At 37.8% G+C, this 20,641-nt stretch overlaps 1 protein-coding gene across 12 annotated transcripts in view, besides 1 other annotated feature; it reads right to left on the bottom strand.

Annotated features, from left to right (window-relative positions):
- The window catches only part of NBEA (neurobeachin), a 730,467-nt gene that overhangs the window by 673,427 nt on the left and 36,399 nt on the right, over positions 1 to 20,641 (bottom strand). The gene's annotated exons all lie outside the window — the stretch shown is intronic.
- Positions 8,396 to 8,922: an enhancer, noted in NCBI's record as "OCT4-NANOG hESC enhancer chr13:35564525-35565051 (GRCh37/hg19 assembly coordinates)". NCBI's record gives its function as "activates a minimal SCP1, AML or CMV promoter by ChIP-STARR-seq in naive H9 embryonic stem cells {active_cell/tissue: H9 hESC(naive)}" and the evidence as "EXISTENCE:reporter gene assay evidence [ECO:0000049][PMID:30033119]".

The following is a 20,641-nucleotide window of genomic DNA, read 5'->3' as shown; positions in this document are numbered from 1 at the left end:
ACCCTATTTACCCTGATGTGATTACTACACACTGTACACCTGTATCAAAATATCTAAAGTACTCCACACATATATTCCCCATATTATATACCCACAAAAATTTTTAAAAATATATTTATTGACTGACCAAACAATAGAACAAAAGAAGGATTCTTACCCCAATTTTGTTTGTTATAAATATTTATAGTATGTCTCTATTTCTACCATAAGGATATAAGCTTGGTTAGTTGTTGAGGGAAGTCAGGGACCCCAAACGGAGGGACCAGCTGAAGCCATGGCAGAAGAACATAAATTGTGAAGATTTCATGGACACTTAGTAGTTCCCCAAATTAATATTTTTATAATTTCTTACGCCTGTCTTTACTGCAATCTCTGAACATAAATTGTGAAGATTTCATGGACACTTATCACTTCCCCAATCAATACCCTTGTGATTTCCTATGCCTGTCTTTAATCTCTTAATCCCGTCATCTTCGTAAGCTGAGGAGGATGTATGTCGCCTCAGGACCCTGTGATGATTGCGTTAACTGCACAAATTGTACAGCATGTGTGTTTGAACAATATGAAATCTGAGCATCTTGAAAAAAAGAACAGGATAACAGCAATGTTCAGGGAAAAAAGAGAGATAACCTTAAACTCTGACTGCCGGTGAGCTGGGCAGAACAGAGCCATATTTCTCTTCTTTCAAAAGCAAATGGGAGAAATATCACTGAATTCTTTTTCTCAGCAAGGAACATCCCTGAGAAAGAGAATGCGTCCCTGAGGGGAGGCCTCTAAAATGGCCGCTTTGGGGGCAGCTGTCTCTTACGGTCTTAGCTGTGGGATGAAATAAGCCCCCGTCTCCTGCAGCACTCCCAGGCTTATTAGGATGAGGAAATTCCCACCTAAAAAATTTTGGTCAGACCAGTTGTCTGCTTTCAAACCCTGTTTCCTGATAAGATGTTATCAATGACAATGCCTGCCTGAAACTTCATTAGCAATTTTAATTTTGCCCCAGTCCTGTGGTCCTGTGATCTCACCCTGCCTCCATTTACCCTGTGATATCTTATTACCTTGTGAAGCAGGTGATCTCTGTCACCCACACCCTATTTGTACACTCCCTCCCCTTTTGAAAATCACTAAAAACTTGCTGGTTTTGTGGCTTGGGGGCACATCATGGAACCTGCCAACATGTGATATCTCCCCCGGATACCCAGCTTTAAAATTTCTCCCTTTTGTACTCTGTCCCTTTATTTCTCAGACCGGCCAACACTTACAGAAAATAGAAAAGAACCTATGTGAAATATCGGGGGTGAATTTTGCCCAATAGTTAGTTACATGCCTTTAACAAGTTTACATAAAAAAAATACCTCCTAAGCCACTGGCACTCTGAAAAAGGTACTATGATGCATTTCATTGGTTTGATTATAATAAGGTCTCTTGTAAAAATTGTCACTAAGCAAAAAATAACATAACTCTGGGCTACGAGAAAATCCTTCTTAGTTCTTCATAAGTACAACAAACAAGCACCTAACAGTAGAAGTAAATTGGACATGCTGCCTGAAATTACAACAATGAATGCAAATTGGAATACTAGCTTCATAGTTCTCAGCCTCAAAAGTGAGAATCTTAAAAGGTAAAAAGATTTTGGTATGACAGTTTCAGTAACACTTGGTTGGGAAAAGACTGGTAAAAATACAAAGAATAACTTTATTCTTAGTTTTTCCTAAAAATGAATTATTATGCAAAAATATAAGGGATATCATGTCTGTAACTCATAAATTACTGACATTACACAGCATAAATATTTTTAAACAACTACATTTACATGTAAGAGTTTTTGATATATTAGCTTGCTGGTCTAGAAGCAAAATAATTACCATTTTGGGAAATAATAATAAGGAAGAATGAGTTCATATATCAATGTGCAATGGAATCAAAGTATCTGCATTTTAAAACTGAAAAAGACGTTACAAACCATCTATTCGAATTGTTCCCTCATGGAGAGCCCAGCTAGGCTTTTATAGAGTCAAATGGATACTGTTTAAACTACTTTAAATATTTCAAAAAGTATCACATATCATATTCTTGAGAACTAGAACTACATGAGCTAGGTGAAACATCATCTTTTATTCTTCACTGACAATAAAGGTAATGTTGTTAATCTAGTTATCTCACTGGAAAACAAAGTCATATTTATTTAATAGAAATAACAGTATAAACTGGAGAAGAAGGTAAGGTAAGAAATAATTTTAAAAATTAAATGTTGGCAATCACGGAATCCCTACACCAAGGTCAAAAACTAAGCTAACAGACAGGTAGAATATTCAAATTTCCTGACTAATCCAGTGATCTTGCCTACCTCCACACTACTTTGAATACAGGACATAAATAATAGATTTAACAAATGTCAGATGTTTACAATAGTGACCATGGAGCAATGAGATTACTGGCAATTTTTCATTTCTTCGTCACATATATTTTTAAATGATTTGCAATGAGCATGTATACTATTTACTTAACACATAATACATACATTAATCAAAACATACACACACACGCACACACACATTTAATAGTGAGTCTTCCTAAAACAAAATCTGGTAATGTACAACTCATGTTCAGAAATATGATTTTCCCATGTTTCCTTTTCCATTCACATGATCTTGGAGTATGTTTCCTCATTTATAAAAAGAAGATAATGGATGGTTCTTACATTACGTTTCACTAATTATTGCTGGGACCACTCAATAGATAGATGTAAAAGTAAATATACTATAAATCACTTCTAAAAACCAAGGTAATTTTGATTATAGTATAAATTCTATCATGTTGACAATTATATATATACACACACACACACACAAACGCAGAGGTGAAAAGCCCAACTCCTCTGACTACCATTTCAGATATTAGCATTCAATCAATATTTATTAAACCCTAATATTGGCAAAAGTTCTATATAAGGTGGCAAGTATCTATCATGGGATGTAAAATAAATATGAATGTAAAATAAATAATAAAGACTCTATCAACAGTTTTCTAAAAATTTTATGCAATTTTATATTTATATAACAAGATTTATTTAATTATTCAGGATTGCTTTTCCAAGTAGCAAGCAACTTTTTAAGCTTTACAGTAATAATCACACTTTGTGAAGTAACAAGGTTGTAATTTGCACATTCAAGATGGTATTATATAGCAAATCTACTAGATTAGGAATGGACATAGGCCTAGATCCCAATTCTGACACAATTTCAAATTAGTATTGTGATCTTGGGTAAGTCATTTAATTTCACTAAGGTGGAATCCTTGCTTTTCCAAGCTTCAACAGCTACAAGTTAACAAATGCTCAGGCTCTGAGCTAATTCTGGTCAAGCCCAGCAGAATATCTAAAGGCTCACGTCCCATTAGCAGGTAGGACTGAGAATTCATCTTTCTGCCTTATGCTCTAATTCAGATATTCTGGGACTAAACTTTTAACCTGTTAAATAAAATTTGCAGGAGGCCATTGATTTGGACTAGGCTCCTGTACTGAGCCCAACAGACCAAACTAATATGAAGTCATTCATGCTGAATGAAACTTGAGCGTGTACTCATGTAACAAAAAGCTGAGTTTATTAGTTACAGCATCTGAGCTTCAGTCAACTGTTGACAGTCAGCTGATTAAAGTGAGACACAACACCTAGCTGTAACCAATTAAGTTGTTTTTTTTTGTCCCACTCTGTTTTCTGTCCATAAATGCTAGGTGAACAGGTAGCAGATAGTTCTTGGAACCTGTTCTAGTTCTGAGGGCTGCCTAATCGCAAATCATTGTTATTGGGTTTTTTGGTTTGTTTGTTTGTTTTTTGCTCAGGCAACCTCTGATAAAGTTAAACATGCTTAAAGTTTTTCTTTTTTTTTTTTTCTTGAGACAGGGTCTCTCTCTGTCACCCAGGCTGGAGTGCAGTGGCACAATCTCAGCTCCTGCCTCAGCCTCCTCAGTAGCTGGGACTACAGGTGCATGCCACCATGCCAGGCTCATTTTCTTTTGTATTATTCATACAGATGGGGTTTCACCATGTTGGGCAGGCTGGTCTCAAACTCCTGACCTCAAGTGATCCTCCTGCCTTGGCCTCCCAAAGTGCTGGGATTACAGGCATGAGCCACCACACCCAGCCAGTTTTTCCTTTTTAATATCCTTAATGCTTACTTGGTTTACCTAGTTGTGGAAAATGGGCTTTTACCTTTGTTTCCTGAGCTAACTCTATTCCCCTTGCCAGAAGGTCGGGGCAGAGAGAACCTAGGACTGAGGTCCCAACCACCCAACAAGCTCTCAGCAGTCCTCTCACTTCAAATGTGTGCATTCATTTCCAGCCACTGACTGACCTTGTGTTTCAATGTATAATAATTCTTTGAAATCATTAAGCTATCAACTATTCAAATACGAACATTATCATTTGCCCATAATACCTACCATGTCAGATACTTCAGATAGCAGACCCAACCAAAAACCATCCATATGCACAAGAGTCTCAGAAAAAAGATGACTTGGACTTCCAGCCATCTGCCAAGATTCAGAATTAGCAACTTTAATATTTTAGCTGAATTCCCTGTTGTATGAGGTCCCTTCCTATGCCAACTTATCAACAAGTTACCTGGTGGTCACAGTTTACAGGACTAGTTATAATGAGTTTTATTGCTCATACACAACAGTAAAGGTAGGATTTTCTCCATATTCAGGAGATTTAAAAAATTAATGATAAAAATATGGTAAATTGTATCTGAAAAATAACCATTAAAAGTAGTTACATACATAGGAGGAAATATCAATAAATAGATATTTTCCTATTTTCTTAAAAGGTCACCAAGGATGCATCATCAACACTCTCAATTGCTGGAATATTCCTATGTCTGTCTCACTCTTAACTGTCAATATGTTTTTCCTTTCATTTGAAATAAATCTCCCCTATTTAAAGCTATATTTTAATTTTCCCATTTATTAAAACAACTGATTAGTATAAACTCGTTCCACATAATTAAAATTAATGTAAGGCATCCCTTTGAATTGAATTATTTCATATAAACCACTAAACTCCATTTATTTACTTTTTTCTTATAGAACTTTTTTTTTTTTTTTTTTTTTTTTTTTTGGAGACAGAGCCTTGCTCTGTCACCCAGGCTAGAGTACAGTGGCATGACCTCGGCTCACTGCAACCTCTGCCACCCAGGTTCAAGCAATTATCCTGCCTCAGCCTCCCAAGTAGCAGGGATTTCAGGCACCCACCATCACACCTGGCTAATTCTTGTATTTTTAGTAGAGACGGGGTTTCACCATGTTGGCTAGTCTGGTCTTGAGCTCTTGACCTCAAGTGATCCACCTGCCTCAGCCTCCCAAAGTGCTGGGATTACGGGCATGAGCCACCATGCCCAGCCCCTTATGAAGCCATTTTTTATAGTTTTAGGTAATCTTTTACTGTTTCTACATATCTTTTCAAAAGAACCATAATCAAAATTGAGCTAAAATAGGGAAAAAAATGTACAGGGTAGAAATACAGTATTTCTTACAAATGAAAATTTTTGTAACAGACTAAGTGCATATTGGACATAATGTTCCGCACTATAGCTCATTTCAGGGATAGACATTATAGCCTGTCGGCACTACTCTATGTTGTAACCAGGGGTCATACTCAAACCACGAAAAACAGTCATCATTTATCTTGGTTATTTAGTTTTGGAGACTAACTTCCTCACTCTGAGTCAGAAATAGGAACTGGTAGGGATAGTCTCCACACTAATCTTTGGCAGTTTATTCCTTACTGAAAATTAGCTGAATGAAATCCTGAATAAGCAATTCATCTCTGGATTTATTCCTTCCAGCATTTATTGAGCATCTACTATATGCAAAGGTCTGTAATAGATGCAGAAAATATACCAGTGAATACAAAAATACTGCATTATACATCTTACATTGTAGCAAGGTTAAACAGATATTCATAAGTAAACAACTATTTGCAACAATGAGAAATTCTACAAAAGAGAAAACGAGGATGCTATTGGTGCATATAATCTTATCAGGAGAGGCCATGAAATAACTGAAAAAATAATATTTCGGCTGAGATCATTAGGATGAAAAGAAAGTATCCAGAGGAAGATGAACGAGAAATGAAGAGGAGAAATTAAAGCAGAAATAACAGGGTCACCAAATGAATAAGCTCTAATAAGATACGATATAAGATGGCTAGTGTGTTTGCAGTATAGATAGCAAAGTGGAGAGAGGAGCGAGTAATGAATGCAACAGTAGCAGGAGATGAGACTCATTGGAGATCATGCAAGGGCTCAGAAGTCACATTAAGAATTTCCAGCCTTGGCTGGGCGTGGTGGCTCATGCCTGTAATCCCAGCACTTTGGGAGGCCAAAGCGGGTGGATCACAAGGTCAAGAGACCGAGACCATCCTGGCTAATACGGTGAAACCCTGTCTCTACTAAAAAATACAAAAAAAAAAAAAAAATTAGCCGGGTGTGGTGGCGGGGGCCTGTAGTCCCAGCTACTCAGGAGGCTGAGGCAGGAGAATGGTGTGAATCTGGGAGTCGGAGCTTGCAGTGAGCTGAGATCATGCCACTGCACTCCAGCCTGGGCAACAGAGCAAGACTCCGTCTCAAAAAAATAAATAAATAAAATAAGTATTTCTAGCCTTTACCTTAAAAAAAGCAAGAATAAACACTGAAGGGCACTATTCCCCTCAAATACCTCGTTACCAAGTCAAATGTTTAACTCTTATTTATGTATTTCATCCTAGCTCCTTTTCTCCCCATTAAGGGACTACAGATTCCAAAATTATTTGCTTCTTGGCCGGGCGTGGTGGTCAGGAGTTCAAGACCAGCCTGTCCAACATGGTGAAATGCCATCTCTCCTAAAAATACAAAAAAGTAGCCAGGCATGGTGGCATGTGCCTGTATTCCCAGTTTCTCGGGAGGCTGAGGCAGGAGAACAGCTTGAATCCAGAAAGCAGAGGTTTCAATGAGCCGAGATCATGCCACTGCACTCCAGCCTGGGTGACAGAGCTAGACTCTGTCTAAAAAAAAAAATATATATATATATATATATATATACACACACACACACACATATACACACACACACACACACACATATATATACACACACATATACACACACATTTTTCAAACACTTGGTGAAATATATAAATTTAAAAATTCAAAAAACTTGTCAAAAAGACAAGGTTCAGCAGCCAAATACCTGTAAATCAAGGGTAGAGGAAAGCTTAAAAAAAAGGCAGAGAATAAAAGTCATATTACATATAGAAAAACAATGACTGAATGACTACTTTCTTCTCATCAGGAAAAAAAAAAAAACAACCATAAGACAGTGGTACATTTTTTAAATGCTGTCAATTCCAATTCCTACACCCAAAATATATCCTTTAAAAGAACAGTCAAATAAACACATTTTTAAATTTAAAAGAAGAAACTTAAAAGAATTGGTTGCCAGCATGTTTTTTAAAAGTGCTTTTATAAGGTTCTTCAGGCTGTAGGGAAATGATACAAGACGGAAACTTATTCTGGAAGGAACAAAAAGTAAAAGAAATGGCATGCATATTGGTAAACATAGAATAATATATGTCCTTAGTACATCTTTAAAATACATATGACTGCTTGAAGTGAAAATTATAGTACTGTGTAGTGTATATTGATATGATCTGTCTCTGTGTCCCCACCTAAATCTCATGTTGAATTGTAATCCTCGGTGTTGGAGGAGGGGCCTGGTGGGAGGTGACTGGGTCATAGGAGTGGACTTCCCCTTGGCTGTTCTTGTGATAATGGGTGAGTTCTCACAAGATGTGGTTGTTTAAAATTGTGTAGCACTTCCCCTTTCACTCCCTCTCTCCTGCTCTGCCATGTGAAGATGTGCCTGTTTCCCCTTCACCTTCTGCCATGATTGTCAGTTTCCTGAGGCCTCTCCAGCCATGCTTCCTGTACAGTCTGTGGAACTGAATCAATTAAACCTCTTTTCTTCACAAATTACCCAGTCTCAGGTAGTTCCTCACAGCAGTGCAAGAATGGGTTAATACAGAAAATTGGCACTGGAGAGTGGGGTATTGCTATAAAGATCCCTGAAAATGTGGAAGCAGCTTTGTAACTGGGTAATGGGCAGAGGTTGGAACAGTTTGGAGAGCTCATAAGACAGGAAGACCAAGGAAGGTTTGGAACTTTCTAAAGACTTGTTAAACTGTTGTTACCAAAATGCTGACAGTGATATGGCCAATGAAGTCCAGGCTGAAGTAGTCTCAGATGAGGAACTTATTGGGAACTGGGGCAAAGATCACTTTTGTTAACCATTAACAAAGAGGCTGAAGGCATTCTGCACCTGCCCTAGAGATCTGTGGAACTTTGAACTTGAGAGATGATTTAAGATATCTGGCAGAAGAAATTTCTAAGTAGCAAAGTGTTCTTCAAGATGTGGCCTGGTTGCTTCTAACAGCATATGGTCACATGCATAAGCAAAGAGATGATCTGAAACTGGAACTTATACTTAAAAAGGAAACAGCATAAAAGTTAAGAAAATTTGCAGCCTGACCATGAGGGAGAAAAGAAAAGCCCATTTTCTGGGGAGGAATTCAAGCTGGATGTAGAAATTTGCATAAGTAAAGAGGAGCTGAATGTTAATAGCCAAGACAATGGGGAAAATGCCTTGAAGGCTTTCCCGCAGCCCCTCCAATCAAAGGCCCAGAGGCCTAAGGGAAGAATGGTTTTGAGAGCAAAGCCCAGGGCCCTGCTACCCTACACAACCTCAGAACACTGCTCCCTGCATCCTAGCTTCTCCAGCTCCAGCTGTGGCTGTGGCTAAAAGGGCCCCAGATACATCTCAGGTCACTGCTCCAGATGGTGCAAGCTGCAAACTTTGGTGACTTCTATGTGTTTCTAAGCCTGTGGGGGCATAGAGGGCAAGAGTTAAGGCTTGGGAGCCTCCAAATAGCTATCAGAGAATAGAAATGTCTGGATATCCTGGCAGAAGTCTGCTACAGGGGCAGAGCCCTCATGGAGAATCTACTAAGCAGTGTGAAGGGGAAATGTGGGGTTACAGCCCCCACAAAGAGTCCCCACTGGGGCACTGCCTAGTGGAGTTGTGAGAAAAAAGCCACCATCCTCCAGAACTCAGAATGGTAGACCCACTGACGGCTTGCACCATGTGCCTAGAAAAGCCACAGGCATTCAACACTGGCCCATGAAACCAGCCAAGGAGGCTATACCATGCCAAGCTAAAGGAGCATAAATGCCCAACGTCTTGGGAGCCTACCCCTTGCATCAGTGTGCTTGCATGTGAGACATGGAGTCAAAGAAAATTATTTTGGAGCTTTAAAATTTGATGACTGCCTTTCTGGGCTTTGGACTTGCATGGGGTCTGTAACCCCTTTGTTTTGGCCGATTTCTCCCTTTTGGAATGGGAACATTTGCCCAATGCCTGTAGCCCCATTGTATCTTGGAGGTAACTAACTTGTTTATGGTTTTACAGGCTCATAGGCAAATAGACGTGCCTTGTCCCAGATGAAACTTTGGACTTCGACTTTTGAGTTAATGCTAGAATGAGTTAAGACATTGGGGGTCTGTTTGGAAGCCATGACTGTGCTTTGAAAGGTGACAAGGACATGAGATTTGGGAGGGCTAGGTGTGGAATGATATAGTTTGGCTCTGTGTCCCCACCCAAACCTCATGTCAAACTGTAATCCTCAGTGTTGGAGGGGGCACCTAGTGGGAGACGACTGGACCACGGAGGCAGACTTCCCCTTTGCGGTTCTCATGACAGTGAGTTCCCATAAGATTTGGTTGTTTAAGAATATGTAGCACTTCCCCCTTCACCCTCTATCCTGCTCCACCATGTGAAGATGTGTCTGTTTCCCCTTCACCTTCTGCCATGATTGTAAGTTTCCTGAAACCTCCCCAGCCAGGCTTCCTGTACACCCTGTGAAAATGTGAATCGATTAAATCTCTTTTCTTCATAAATTACCCAGTCTCTTGTAGTTACTTATAGTAATGTGAGAACAGACTAATACATTTATTGGGTATATATGTGTAGATATAATACACATGACAACTACAGCAGAAGAGGAAGATAAATGACTTTTAATTATTGTAAGGATGAACATTTCTATTTTTTAAGTGAAACAGTATGGTAACAACTCTAGACTGAAAAGCTAGAGATGTAGAAGAATCATTAAAATAATAATGCAGGGAGATACGCCTAAAAAACAAATATATAAAATAATGAAATTCTAATCAACTAATCCAAAGAAGGCAGAAAAGGAGGTACACAGGAAGAAAAAACAAATGGGACAAAGAAACAACAAATAGTAGTAAGATAGAAGGCCTAAATCCAGTATCAGTAATTACATTAAATACTACTGGAACACAAATTTTCCTATTAAAAGACTGAATGTCACAATGGATTTTTAATTTTTATAAAGACTCAGCTACATGCTGTTTACAGAAAAATAAGAAAATAAAAAATTCAGAAATTAATAGTAAAAGAACAGAAAAAGATATACCATGCAAATAAACAAGACAGATTGTGCAACAATATAACTATTAGATAAAGTAAACGTCGAGACAAGAAGTATCACCAAATACAAAGAACATTTCATAACAATACAAAGGTCAGTCCAAGATGGCCGAATAGGAACAGCTCTGGTCCGCAGCAAATGGCACAACAGGAGATTATATCCCATGTCTGGCTCGGCGGATCCCACGCCCACAGAGACTTGCTCACTGCTAGCACAGCAGTCTGATATCGACCTGTGAGGCAGCAGCCTGGCAGGGGCAGGGGGGTCTGCCATTGCTGAGGCTTGAGTAGGTAAACAAAGCAGCCGGAAAAGCTCGAACTGGGTGGACCCCACCACAGCTCAGCAAGGCCGGCTACCTCTATAGTCTCCACCTCTGGGGGCAGGGCATAGCTGAACAAAAGGCAGCAGAAACATCTGCAGACTTAAACGTCCCTATCTGACAGCTCTGAAGAGAGCAGTGGTTCTCCCAGCATGGTGTTTGAGCTCAGAGAACAGACAGACTACCTCCTCCCTGACCCCCGTGTAGCCTAACTGGCTAACTGGGAGACACCTCCCAGTAGGGGCCGACTGACACCTCAAACAGGCGGGTAACCCTCTGGGACGAACCTTCCAGAGGAAAGATTAGGCAGCAATATTTGCTGTTCTGCAATATTTGCAGAAACCAGAGTAGAAACGCTGAAAATTCTAAAAACCAGAGTGCCTCTTCTCCTCCAAAGGATAGCATCTCCCCACCAGCAAAGAACAAAGCTGCATGGAGAATGACTTTGACGAGCTGACAGAAGTAGGCTTCAGAAGGTCAGTAATAACAAACATCTCCGAGCTAAAGGAGGATGTTCAAACCCATTGCAAGGAAGCTAAAAACCTTGAAAAAAGATTAGATGAATGGCTAACTAGAATAAACAGTGCATAGAAGAATTTAAATGACCTGATGGAGCTGAAAAGCATGGCATGAGAACTATGTGATGCATGCACAAGCTTCAATAGCCTATTTGATCAAGTGGAAAAAAGAATATCAGTGATTGAAGATCAAATTAATGAAATAAAGCGAGAAGAGAAGTTAGAGAAAAAAGAGTAAAAATAAATGAACAAAGCCTCCAAGAAATATAGGACTATGTGAAAAGACCAAATCTACGTTTGATTGGTGTACCTAAAAGTGATGGGGATAATGGAACCAAGTTGGAAAATACTCTTCAGGATCTTATCCAGGAGAACTTCCCCAACCCAGCAAGACAGGCCAACATTCAAATTCAGGAAACACAAAGAACACCACAAAGATACTCCTCCAGAAGAGCAACCCCAAGACACATAATTGTCAGATTTAGCAAGGTTGAAAAGAAGGAAAAAATGTTAAGGGCAGCCAGAGAGAAAGGTCGGGTTACCCACAAAGGGAAGCCCATCAGACTAACAGCAGATCTCTCGGCAGAAACTCTACAAGCCAGAAGAGACTGGAGACCAATATTCAATATTCTTAAAAGAATTTTCAACCCAGAATTTCATATCCAGCCAAACTAGGCTTCATAAGTGAAGGAGAAATAAAATCCTTTACAGACAAGCAAAGGCTGACAGATTTTGTCACCACCAGGCCTGCCTTACAAGAGCTCCACTAAACATGGAAAGCAGCAACCAGTACCAGCCACTGCAAAAACATGCCAAACTTAAAGACCATCAATGCTAGGAAGAAACTGCATCAACTAATGGGCAAAATAACCGGCTAACAGCATAATGACAGGATCAGATTCACATAAAAATATTAACCTTAAATGTAAATGGACTAAATGCCCCAGTTAAAAGACACAGACTGGCAAATATAAAGAGTCAAGACCCATCAGTGTGCTGTATTCAGGAGACCCATCCCATGTGCAGAGACACACAGAGGCTCAAAATAAAGGGATGGAGGAAGAGCTACCAAGCAAATGGAAAACAAAAAAAAGCAGGGGTTGCAATCCTAGTCTCTGATAAAACAGACATTAAACCAATGGCCATTACATAATGATAAAGGGATCAATTCAACAAGAAGAGCTAACTATCCTAAATATATATGCACCCAATACAGGAGCACCCAGACTCATAAAGCAAGTCCTTAGAGACCTACAAAGAGACTTAGACTCCCACACAATAATAATGGGAGACTTTAACACCCTACTGTCAATATTAGACAGATCAATGAGACCAAAGGTTAACAAGGATATCCAGAACTTGAACTCAGCTCTGCACCAAGCAGACCTAATAGACATCTACAGAACTCTCCACCCCAAATCAACAGAATATACATTCTTCTCAGCAACACGTCGCACTTATTCCAAAATTGACCACATGGTTGGAAGTAAAGCACTCCTCAGCAAATGTAAAAGAACAGAAATCACAACAAACTGTCTCTCAGACCACAGTGCAATCAAACTAGAACTCAGGATTAAGAAACTCACTCAAAACCGCACAACTACATGGAAACTGAAAAACCTGCTCCTGAATGACTACTGGATACAAAATGAAATGAAGGCAGAAATAAAGACGTTCTTTGAAACCAACGAGAACAAAGACACAATGTACCAAAATCTCAGTGGCACATTTAAAGCAGTGTGTAGAGGGAAATTTATAGCACTAAATGCCCACAAGAGAAAGCAGGAAACATCTAAAATCGACACCCTAACATCACAATTAAAAGAACTAGAGAAGCAAGAGCAAACACATTCAAAAGCTAGCAGAAGGAAGAAATAACTAAGATCAGAGCAGAACTGAAAGAGATAGAGACACAAAAAAACCCTTCAAAAAACCATGAATCCAGGAGCTGGTTTTTTTAAAAGATCAACAAAATTGATAGACTGCTAGCAAGACTAATAAAGAAGAAAAGAGAGGAGAATCAAATAAATGCAATAAAAAATAGTAAAGGGGATATCACCACTGATCCCACAGAAATACAAACTACCATCAGATAATAATATAAACACCTCAATGCAAATAAACTAGAAAATCTAGAAGAAATGGATAAATTCCTGAACAATACACCCTCCCAAGACTAAACCAGGAAGGTGAATCTCTGAAGGGACCAATAACAGCCTCTGAAATTCAGGCAATAATTAATAGCCTACCAACCAAAAAAAGTCCAGGACCAGACGGATTCACAACCAAATTCTACCAGAGGTACAAAAAGGAGCTGGTAGCACTCCTTCTGAAACTATTCCAATTAATAGAAAAAGAGGGAATCCTCCCTAACTTATTTTATGAGGCCAGCATCATCCTGATACCAAAGCCTGTTCAGAGACTCAACAAAAAAGAGAATTTTAGACCAATATCCCTGATGAACATCGATGCAAAAATCCTCAATAAAATACTGGCAAACCAAATCCAGCAACACATGAAAAAGCTTATTCAGCACAATCAAGTCGGCTTCATCCCTGGGATACCAGGCTGGTTCAACATATGCAAATCAATAAACATAATCCATCACATAAACAGAACCAACGACAAAAACCACATGATTATCTCAACAGACGTAGAAAAGGCCTTCAACAAAATGCAACAGCCTTTGATGCTAAAAACTCTCAATAAAATAGGTATTAATGGAACGTATCTCAAAATAATAAGAGCTATTTATGACAAACACACAGCCAATATCATACTGAATGGGCAAAAACTTGAAGCATTCCTTTTGAAAACTGGCACAAGACAAGGATGCCCTCTCTCACCACTCCTATTCAACATAGTGTTGTAAGTTCTGGCCAGGGCAATCAGGCAAGAGAAAGAAATAAAGCATATTCAATTAGGAAAAGAAGAAGTCAAATTGTCCCTGTTTGCAGATGACATGATTGTATATTTAGAAAACCCCATCATCTCAGCCCAAAATCTCCTTAAGCTGATAAGCAACTTCAGCAAAGTCTCAGGATACAAAATCAATCTGCAAAAATCACAAGCATTCCTATACACCAATAACAGACAAACAGAGAGCCAAATCATGAGTGAACTCCCATTCACAATTGCTACAATGAGAATAAAATACCTAGGAATCCAACTTACAAGGGATGTGAAGGACCTCTTCAAAGAGAACTACAAACCACTGCTCAACGAAATAAAAGAGAACACAAACAAATGGAAGAACATTCCATGCTCATGAAGAATCAATATCGTGAAAATGGCCATACTGCCCAAGATAATTTATAGATTCAATGCCATCCCCATCAAGCTATCAGTGACTTTCTTCACAGAATTGGAAAAAACTACTTTAAAGTTCATATGCAACCAAAAAAGAGCCCGCATTGCCAATACAATGCTAAGCAAAAAGAACAAAGCTGGAGGCATCACACTAAGTGACTTCAAACTATACTACATGGCACAGTAACCAAAACAGCATGGTACTGGTACCAAAACAGATATATAGAACAATGGAACAGATCAGAGGCCTCAGAAATAACACCACACATCTACAACCATCTGATCTTTGAGAAAGTTGTCAAAAACAAGCAATGGGGAAAGGATTCCCTATTTAATAAACAAAAGGATTCCCTATTTAATAACTGGCTAGCCATATGTAGAAAGCTGAAACTGGATCCCTTCCTTACACCTTATACTAAAATTAATTCAAGATGGATTAAAGACTTAAATGTTAGACCTAAAACCATAAAAACCCTAGAAGAAAACCTAGGCAATACCATTCAGGAAAGAGGCATGGGCAAGGACTTCATGACTAAAACACCAAAAGCAATGGCAACAAAAGCCAAAATTGACAAATGGGATTTGTCAATTAAACTAAATTAATTAAACTAAAGAGCTTCTGCACAGCAAAAGAAACTACCATCAGAGTGAACAGGCTACCTACAGAATGGGAGAAAATTTTTGCAATCTACCCATCTGACAAAGGCCTTATATCCACAATCTACAAAGAACTTAAACAAATTTACAAGAAAAAAACAACCCCATCAAAAAGTGGGCAAAGGATATGAACAGACACTTCTCAAAAGAAGACATTTATGCAGCCAACAGACACATGAAAAAGTGCTCATCATCACTGGTCACCAGAGAAATGCAAATCAAAACCACAATGAGATACCATCTCACACCAGTTAGAATGGCGATCATTAGAAAGTCAGGAAACAACAGATGCTGGAGAGGATGTGGAGAAATAGGAATAATTTTACACTGTTGGTGAGAGTGTAAACTAGTTCAACCATTGTGGAAGACAGTGTGGCAATTCCTCAAGGATCTAGAATTAGAAATATCATTTGACCCAGCGATCCCACTACTGGGTATATACCCAAAAGATTATAAATCATACTACTATAAAGACACATGCACACATGTTTATTGTGGCACTATTCACAATAGCAAAGACTTAGAACCAACCCAAATGTCCATCAATGATAGACTGGATTAAGAAAATATGGCACATATACACCATGGGATACTATGCAGCCATAAAAAAGGATGAGTTCATGTCCTTTGCAGGGACATGGATGCAGCTGGAAACCACCATTCTGAGCAAACTATCGCAAGGACAGAAAACCAAACACCGCATGTTCTCACTCATAGGTGGGAATTGAACAGTGTGAGAACACTTGGACACAGGGCGGGGAACATCACACCCTGGGGCCTGGTGTGGGGTGGGGGTCAGGGGGAGGTATAGCATTAGGAGAAATACCTAATGTAAATGATGAGTTAATGGGTGCAGCAAACCAACATGGCACATGTATACCTATGTAACAAACCTGCACGTTGTGCACATGTACCCTAGAACTTAAAGTATAAAATAATAATAATAATAATAACCCAAAGGTCAATTCCTGAGGAACAGATAACAATCAAATGTGCACACAATTGCTAAGAATTTCAAAATACATAAAGCAAAACTGAAATATTAAGTAATTAAAAGGAGAAAGAAAATTCCACAATCATAGTTGAGACTCTTAAGACCCTTTCTCAATAACTGATAAAATTAAGCAAAAAAAACCCATAGGTGAAACCATAAAATATATGAACAACACTATAATTAACTTGACTTAATTGAGAGCTTAGAAACATTACAACCAATAATCATAAAACACCATTCTTTACAAGTGTTCATGGTGTTTTCACCAAAACAGGAAATATATGATGAGCCATAAGACGAGTCTCAATAAATTTAAAAGTACTGAAGTCCACAGATCCTGTCTTTGTACCACAATGGATTTAAATTCGAAATCAGGTGAGGCATGGTGGCTCACACCTGTACTCCCAGCACTTTGGGAGGCCGAGGCAGGAGGATTACCTGAGGCCAGGAGTTCAAGACCAGCCTGGCCAACATGGTGAAATTCTGTCTTTACTAAAAATATAAAAAATTAGCTGGGCATGGTGGCAGATGCCTGTAATTCCAGCTACTAGGGAGGCTGAGGCAGGAGATTCAATTGAACCCAGGAGGCAGGGGTTGCAGTGAGCTGAGGTAGGTCGCACCAGTGCACCCCAGCCTGGGCAACAGAGAGAGACTTCATCTCAAAAAAAAAAATCAATAACAACAAAATCTTTAGAAATGCCTTCAAAAACAACACTCCTAACTAATCTGATCAAAATTCTATTAAATTCTGTAAAATGAGCTAAAGCAGTGCCTAGAGGAAGTTATACAGTGTTAGAAAAGAAAAAGCTCTTATTGACCCACAGTTTCACCTCATAAAGCTAATCAAAGAACAAAGAAAACTCATAGCAGCAAGTAGGACAAAGTAATAATAAGAACATAAATTAATAAAATAAAAAACAAATAATAGAATTAACATAGCCAAATTTCTTTCTTTGAAATTAATAATATTAATAATGTTGATAAACCATAAGCTTAAGAGACAGAGAGAGAGAGAGAGAGAAGAGAGAACATAAATTATCAATATCTGGAAAGGATTATCAGTATAGATCCTACAGACATTAAAAGAATATCAGAGAAATGTTTATGAACAGTGTGCTAACAAATTCAACTACTTAGATGACACAAATAAATCCCTTGCAAAACACAATTTACTGACACAAGATGAAGGAAAATGCAAACAATCTAGATTAAAAAGAAAACCCCATTATAAAAAAAAAAAACCTTCCCACAAAGAAAAGTGCAGGCCAATGTTTTATTGGTGAATTCTATAAAAATCATTCATAGACAAAACCTGACAAGGACATTATAAGGAAATAAAATTGCAGACCAAAATCTCTGATGAACACAGACACACAAATCCTTAAATTGTTAACAAACCAAATCCAGCAATACGCAAGATGGAAAATACATCATGGGGTTATCCTAAGAATGCAAGATTGTTTATAACATTCAAAAATCAATTGTCAGTGGCAATGTAAAGTGGTATAATCACTTTGGAAATAGTCTGGCAGTTTCTTAAAGCAAGGATTTACCATATGACCCAGAATTTCACTTCTAGGTATCTATGAAAATATATATCCATATGAAGACTTAGATGCAAATGTTCATATCAGCATTATTCATAAAAGCCAAAAATTAGAAACAATTCAAATGGTCGTAAACTGGTAAATGGATAATCAAACTGTGGTATATCCACATAATATTACTTGGCAATAAAAAGGAAAATAGATGAGCCTCAAAAATGTTATACTAAGTCACAGAAGCCAGGCACAAAAGACCACACATTGTGTGACTCCATGGATACAAAATGTCAAGAAAAGGCAAACATGGAGAGGGTAAATCGGTAGTTGCCTTAGGCTGGGGGTGGGAATTGGAAATAACTACAAATTAGCATATTATTTATTTGGAGAGTAACGGAAATGTTATAAAAGTACATTTTGATTACAGTTAAATAACTGTAAATTCACTAAAATTCATTGAATTGTATGCTAAAAACACGTGAATTTTATGATATATAAATTATACCTCAATGAAGCTATTTTAAGAAAATACATATAACTATTATCATACTAATAAAAGGAGAAATACATAGGGGCACTTCAATCAATGTAGAAAAATCATCCGACAAAATTCAGATGGTATAAACTCTTAGCAAACTAGGAAGAGGAAAAACTTTTTCAACTAGATAAATAGTATCTACAAACTCCTATAGCTAACATCTTAATTGTAATCTACTAAATGATCAAATAGTAACCAATTTCCTCCTAATATCCTTAACAACCTAAGGATGCTCATTTTCATCACCGACATTCAACACTGTATTAAATATAAGGGTACCCATTCAACAAGGCAGAGCCCTCATTACTTAATCACCTCCCAAAGGACACACCTCTTCAGAATGTTGCATTAGGATTAAGTTTCAACATACATTGGAGGAACACCATCATTCCAACCATAGCAAATAGCATTTAAATAAATAAATAAATAAATAAATAAATAAATGTAATAAAAATGTAATAAAATGTAATAAAAAAAAGTTATACTTCTAAACTAGAAACCAGAAAACATTGCTGGAAGAAATTTTTAAAAGATCTAGTAAATTAGAGAGATACATGATACTAATGATTTGAAGACAGTAGCATGTAACAAGTCAATCTCCTCTTCCCCCTCATTAAACTATGTATTCAACATACCCAGGATTGTTGCTAGAAACTGACAATTGATTATAAAATATTTATATAAATAACAACAACAACAAAAAAAACAGCTAGACTCTAAGGCAATCCTAGGGCAAAACAACAACAACAAATTGGAAAACTTAAACTACCTGATTTCAAAATTTACATAAAACTACAGTAATTGAGACACCACAGTACACCACAGTACTGACATAAAGACCAACAAATGGATCAATGGAACAAGAAAGACTCATACTTACACATCATTCAACTTTCTTCAAAGGTACTACAGCAATCCAATAGAAAAAGCAAAGTCTCTTCCACAAGTGGTGATGAAACAAATGGATATTAATATGAAAAAAGAAATCTGAACCCTTATCTCACCAGACACAAAAATTAATTTCATATAGATAACAGACATGAGAATTAAAACTATAAAGCCTCTAGAAGAAAACACAGAAGAATATCTGTATGATCTACAGGGAAAGCAATGTTTTCTTAAGGATACAAAGTAATAACCATAAAAGAAATAGTTGATGAATTAAATTCTATCAATATTTAAAAGTGCTCCTGAAAATATAGCTTTAAGTAAAAAGAAAATATACAGACTTTTAAAAAATTTCCAAAAAACATACATCTGACTTAAAAATCTGTATCTAGGATAATGAACTCTTACATTTTAAAAAATTTACAAATTGGCAAAAGATTTGAATAGGTACTTCCCAGGGGAAAATTGTTTTTCTTTTTTTTTTCTTTGAGACAGAGTCTTGCTCTGTCACCCAGGATGGAGTGCAGTGGCTCAATCTTGGCTCACTGCAACCTCTGCCTCCTAGGTTCGAGTGATTCTCCTGCTTCAGCCTCCCAAGCAACTGGGATTACAGGTGCACGCCACCATGCCCAGCTAATTTTTGTCTTTTTAGTAGAAGTGGGGTTTCACCATGTTGGCCAGACTGGTCTCGAACTCCTGGCCTCAGATGATCTGCCTGCCTTGGCCTCCCGAAGTCAGGTGTGAACCACTGTGCCCAGCAACCAGGGGAAAATTTTTAAATGGTGCATAAAGGCATGAAAAAGGGCTCGACATCACTGGCCATCCCAGAAATTCAAATTAAAACCACAGTGGGGTATCAATACACAGCCATCAGAATGTCTAAAAGAGCTGACCATATGAAATGCTGGGGAAAAGAGATCTGTTATACATTGTTGAAAATACAAAATGTTTTAATCACTTAATAAAATGGTCTGTCAGGTTTCTAAAACCAAGCATATGCCATCTCTCTACCTGATAATTACATTCTTAGGTATTTACCCAAAAGGAATAAAAACATGAATCTTAAAATGACTCATGGGTGAATATTCAAGGAAGTTTTATTCATAATGGCCAAAAACTGGAAGCAACCTAGAGTTCCATGAGTAGAAGAATGGATTAGCTTACTCTGGTATATTTATACAATGGTCCACAACTCATCAGTAAAAGTAACAAATGCTGATAAGCACAACATGAACAAATTGCAAAAGCATTCTGTTAAATAAAAGAAGTTTTACTCAAAAGGGTTCATTGACACTGTTAAGACTCCATTTATACAAGATTCTACAACAGCCAATACTAA

Source organism: Homo sapiens, chromosome 13, assembly GCF_000001405.40.
Source record: "Homo sapiens chromosome 13, GRCh38.p14 Primary Assembly".
Lineage (NCBI taxonomy): Eukaryota > Metazoa > Chordata > Mammalia > Primates > Hominidae > Homo > Homo sapiens.
The sequence above is the reverse complement of the archived record's forward strand: the minus strand, read 5'-3'. Positions and strand labels throughout refer to the sequence as shown.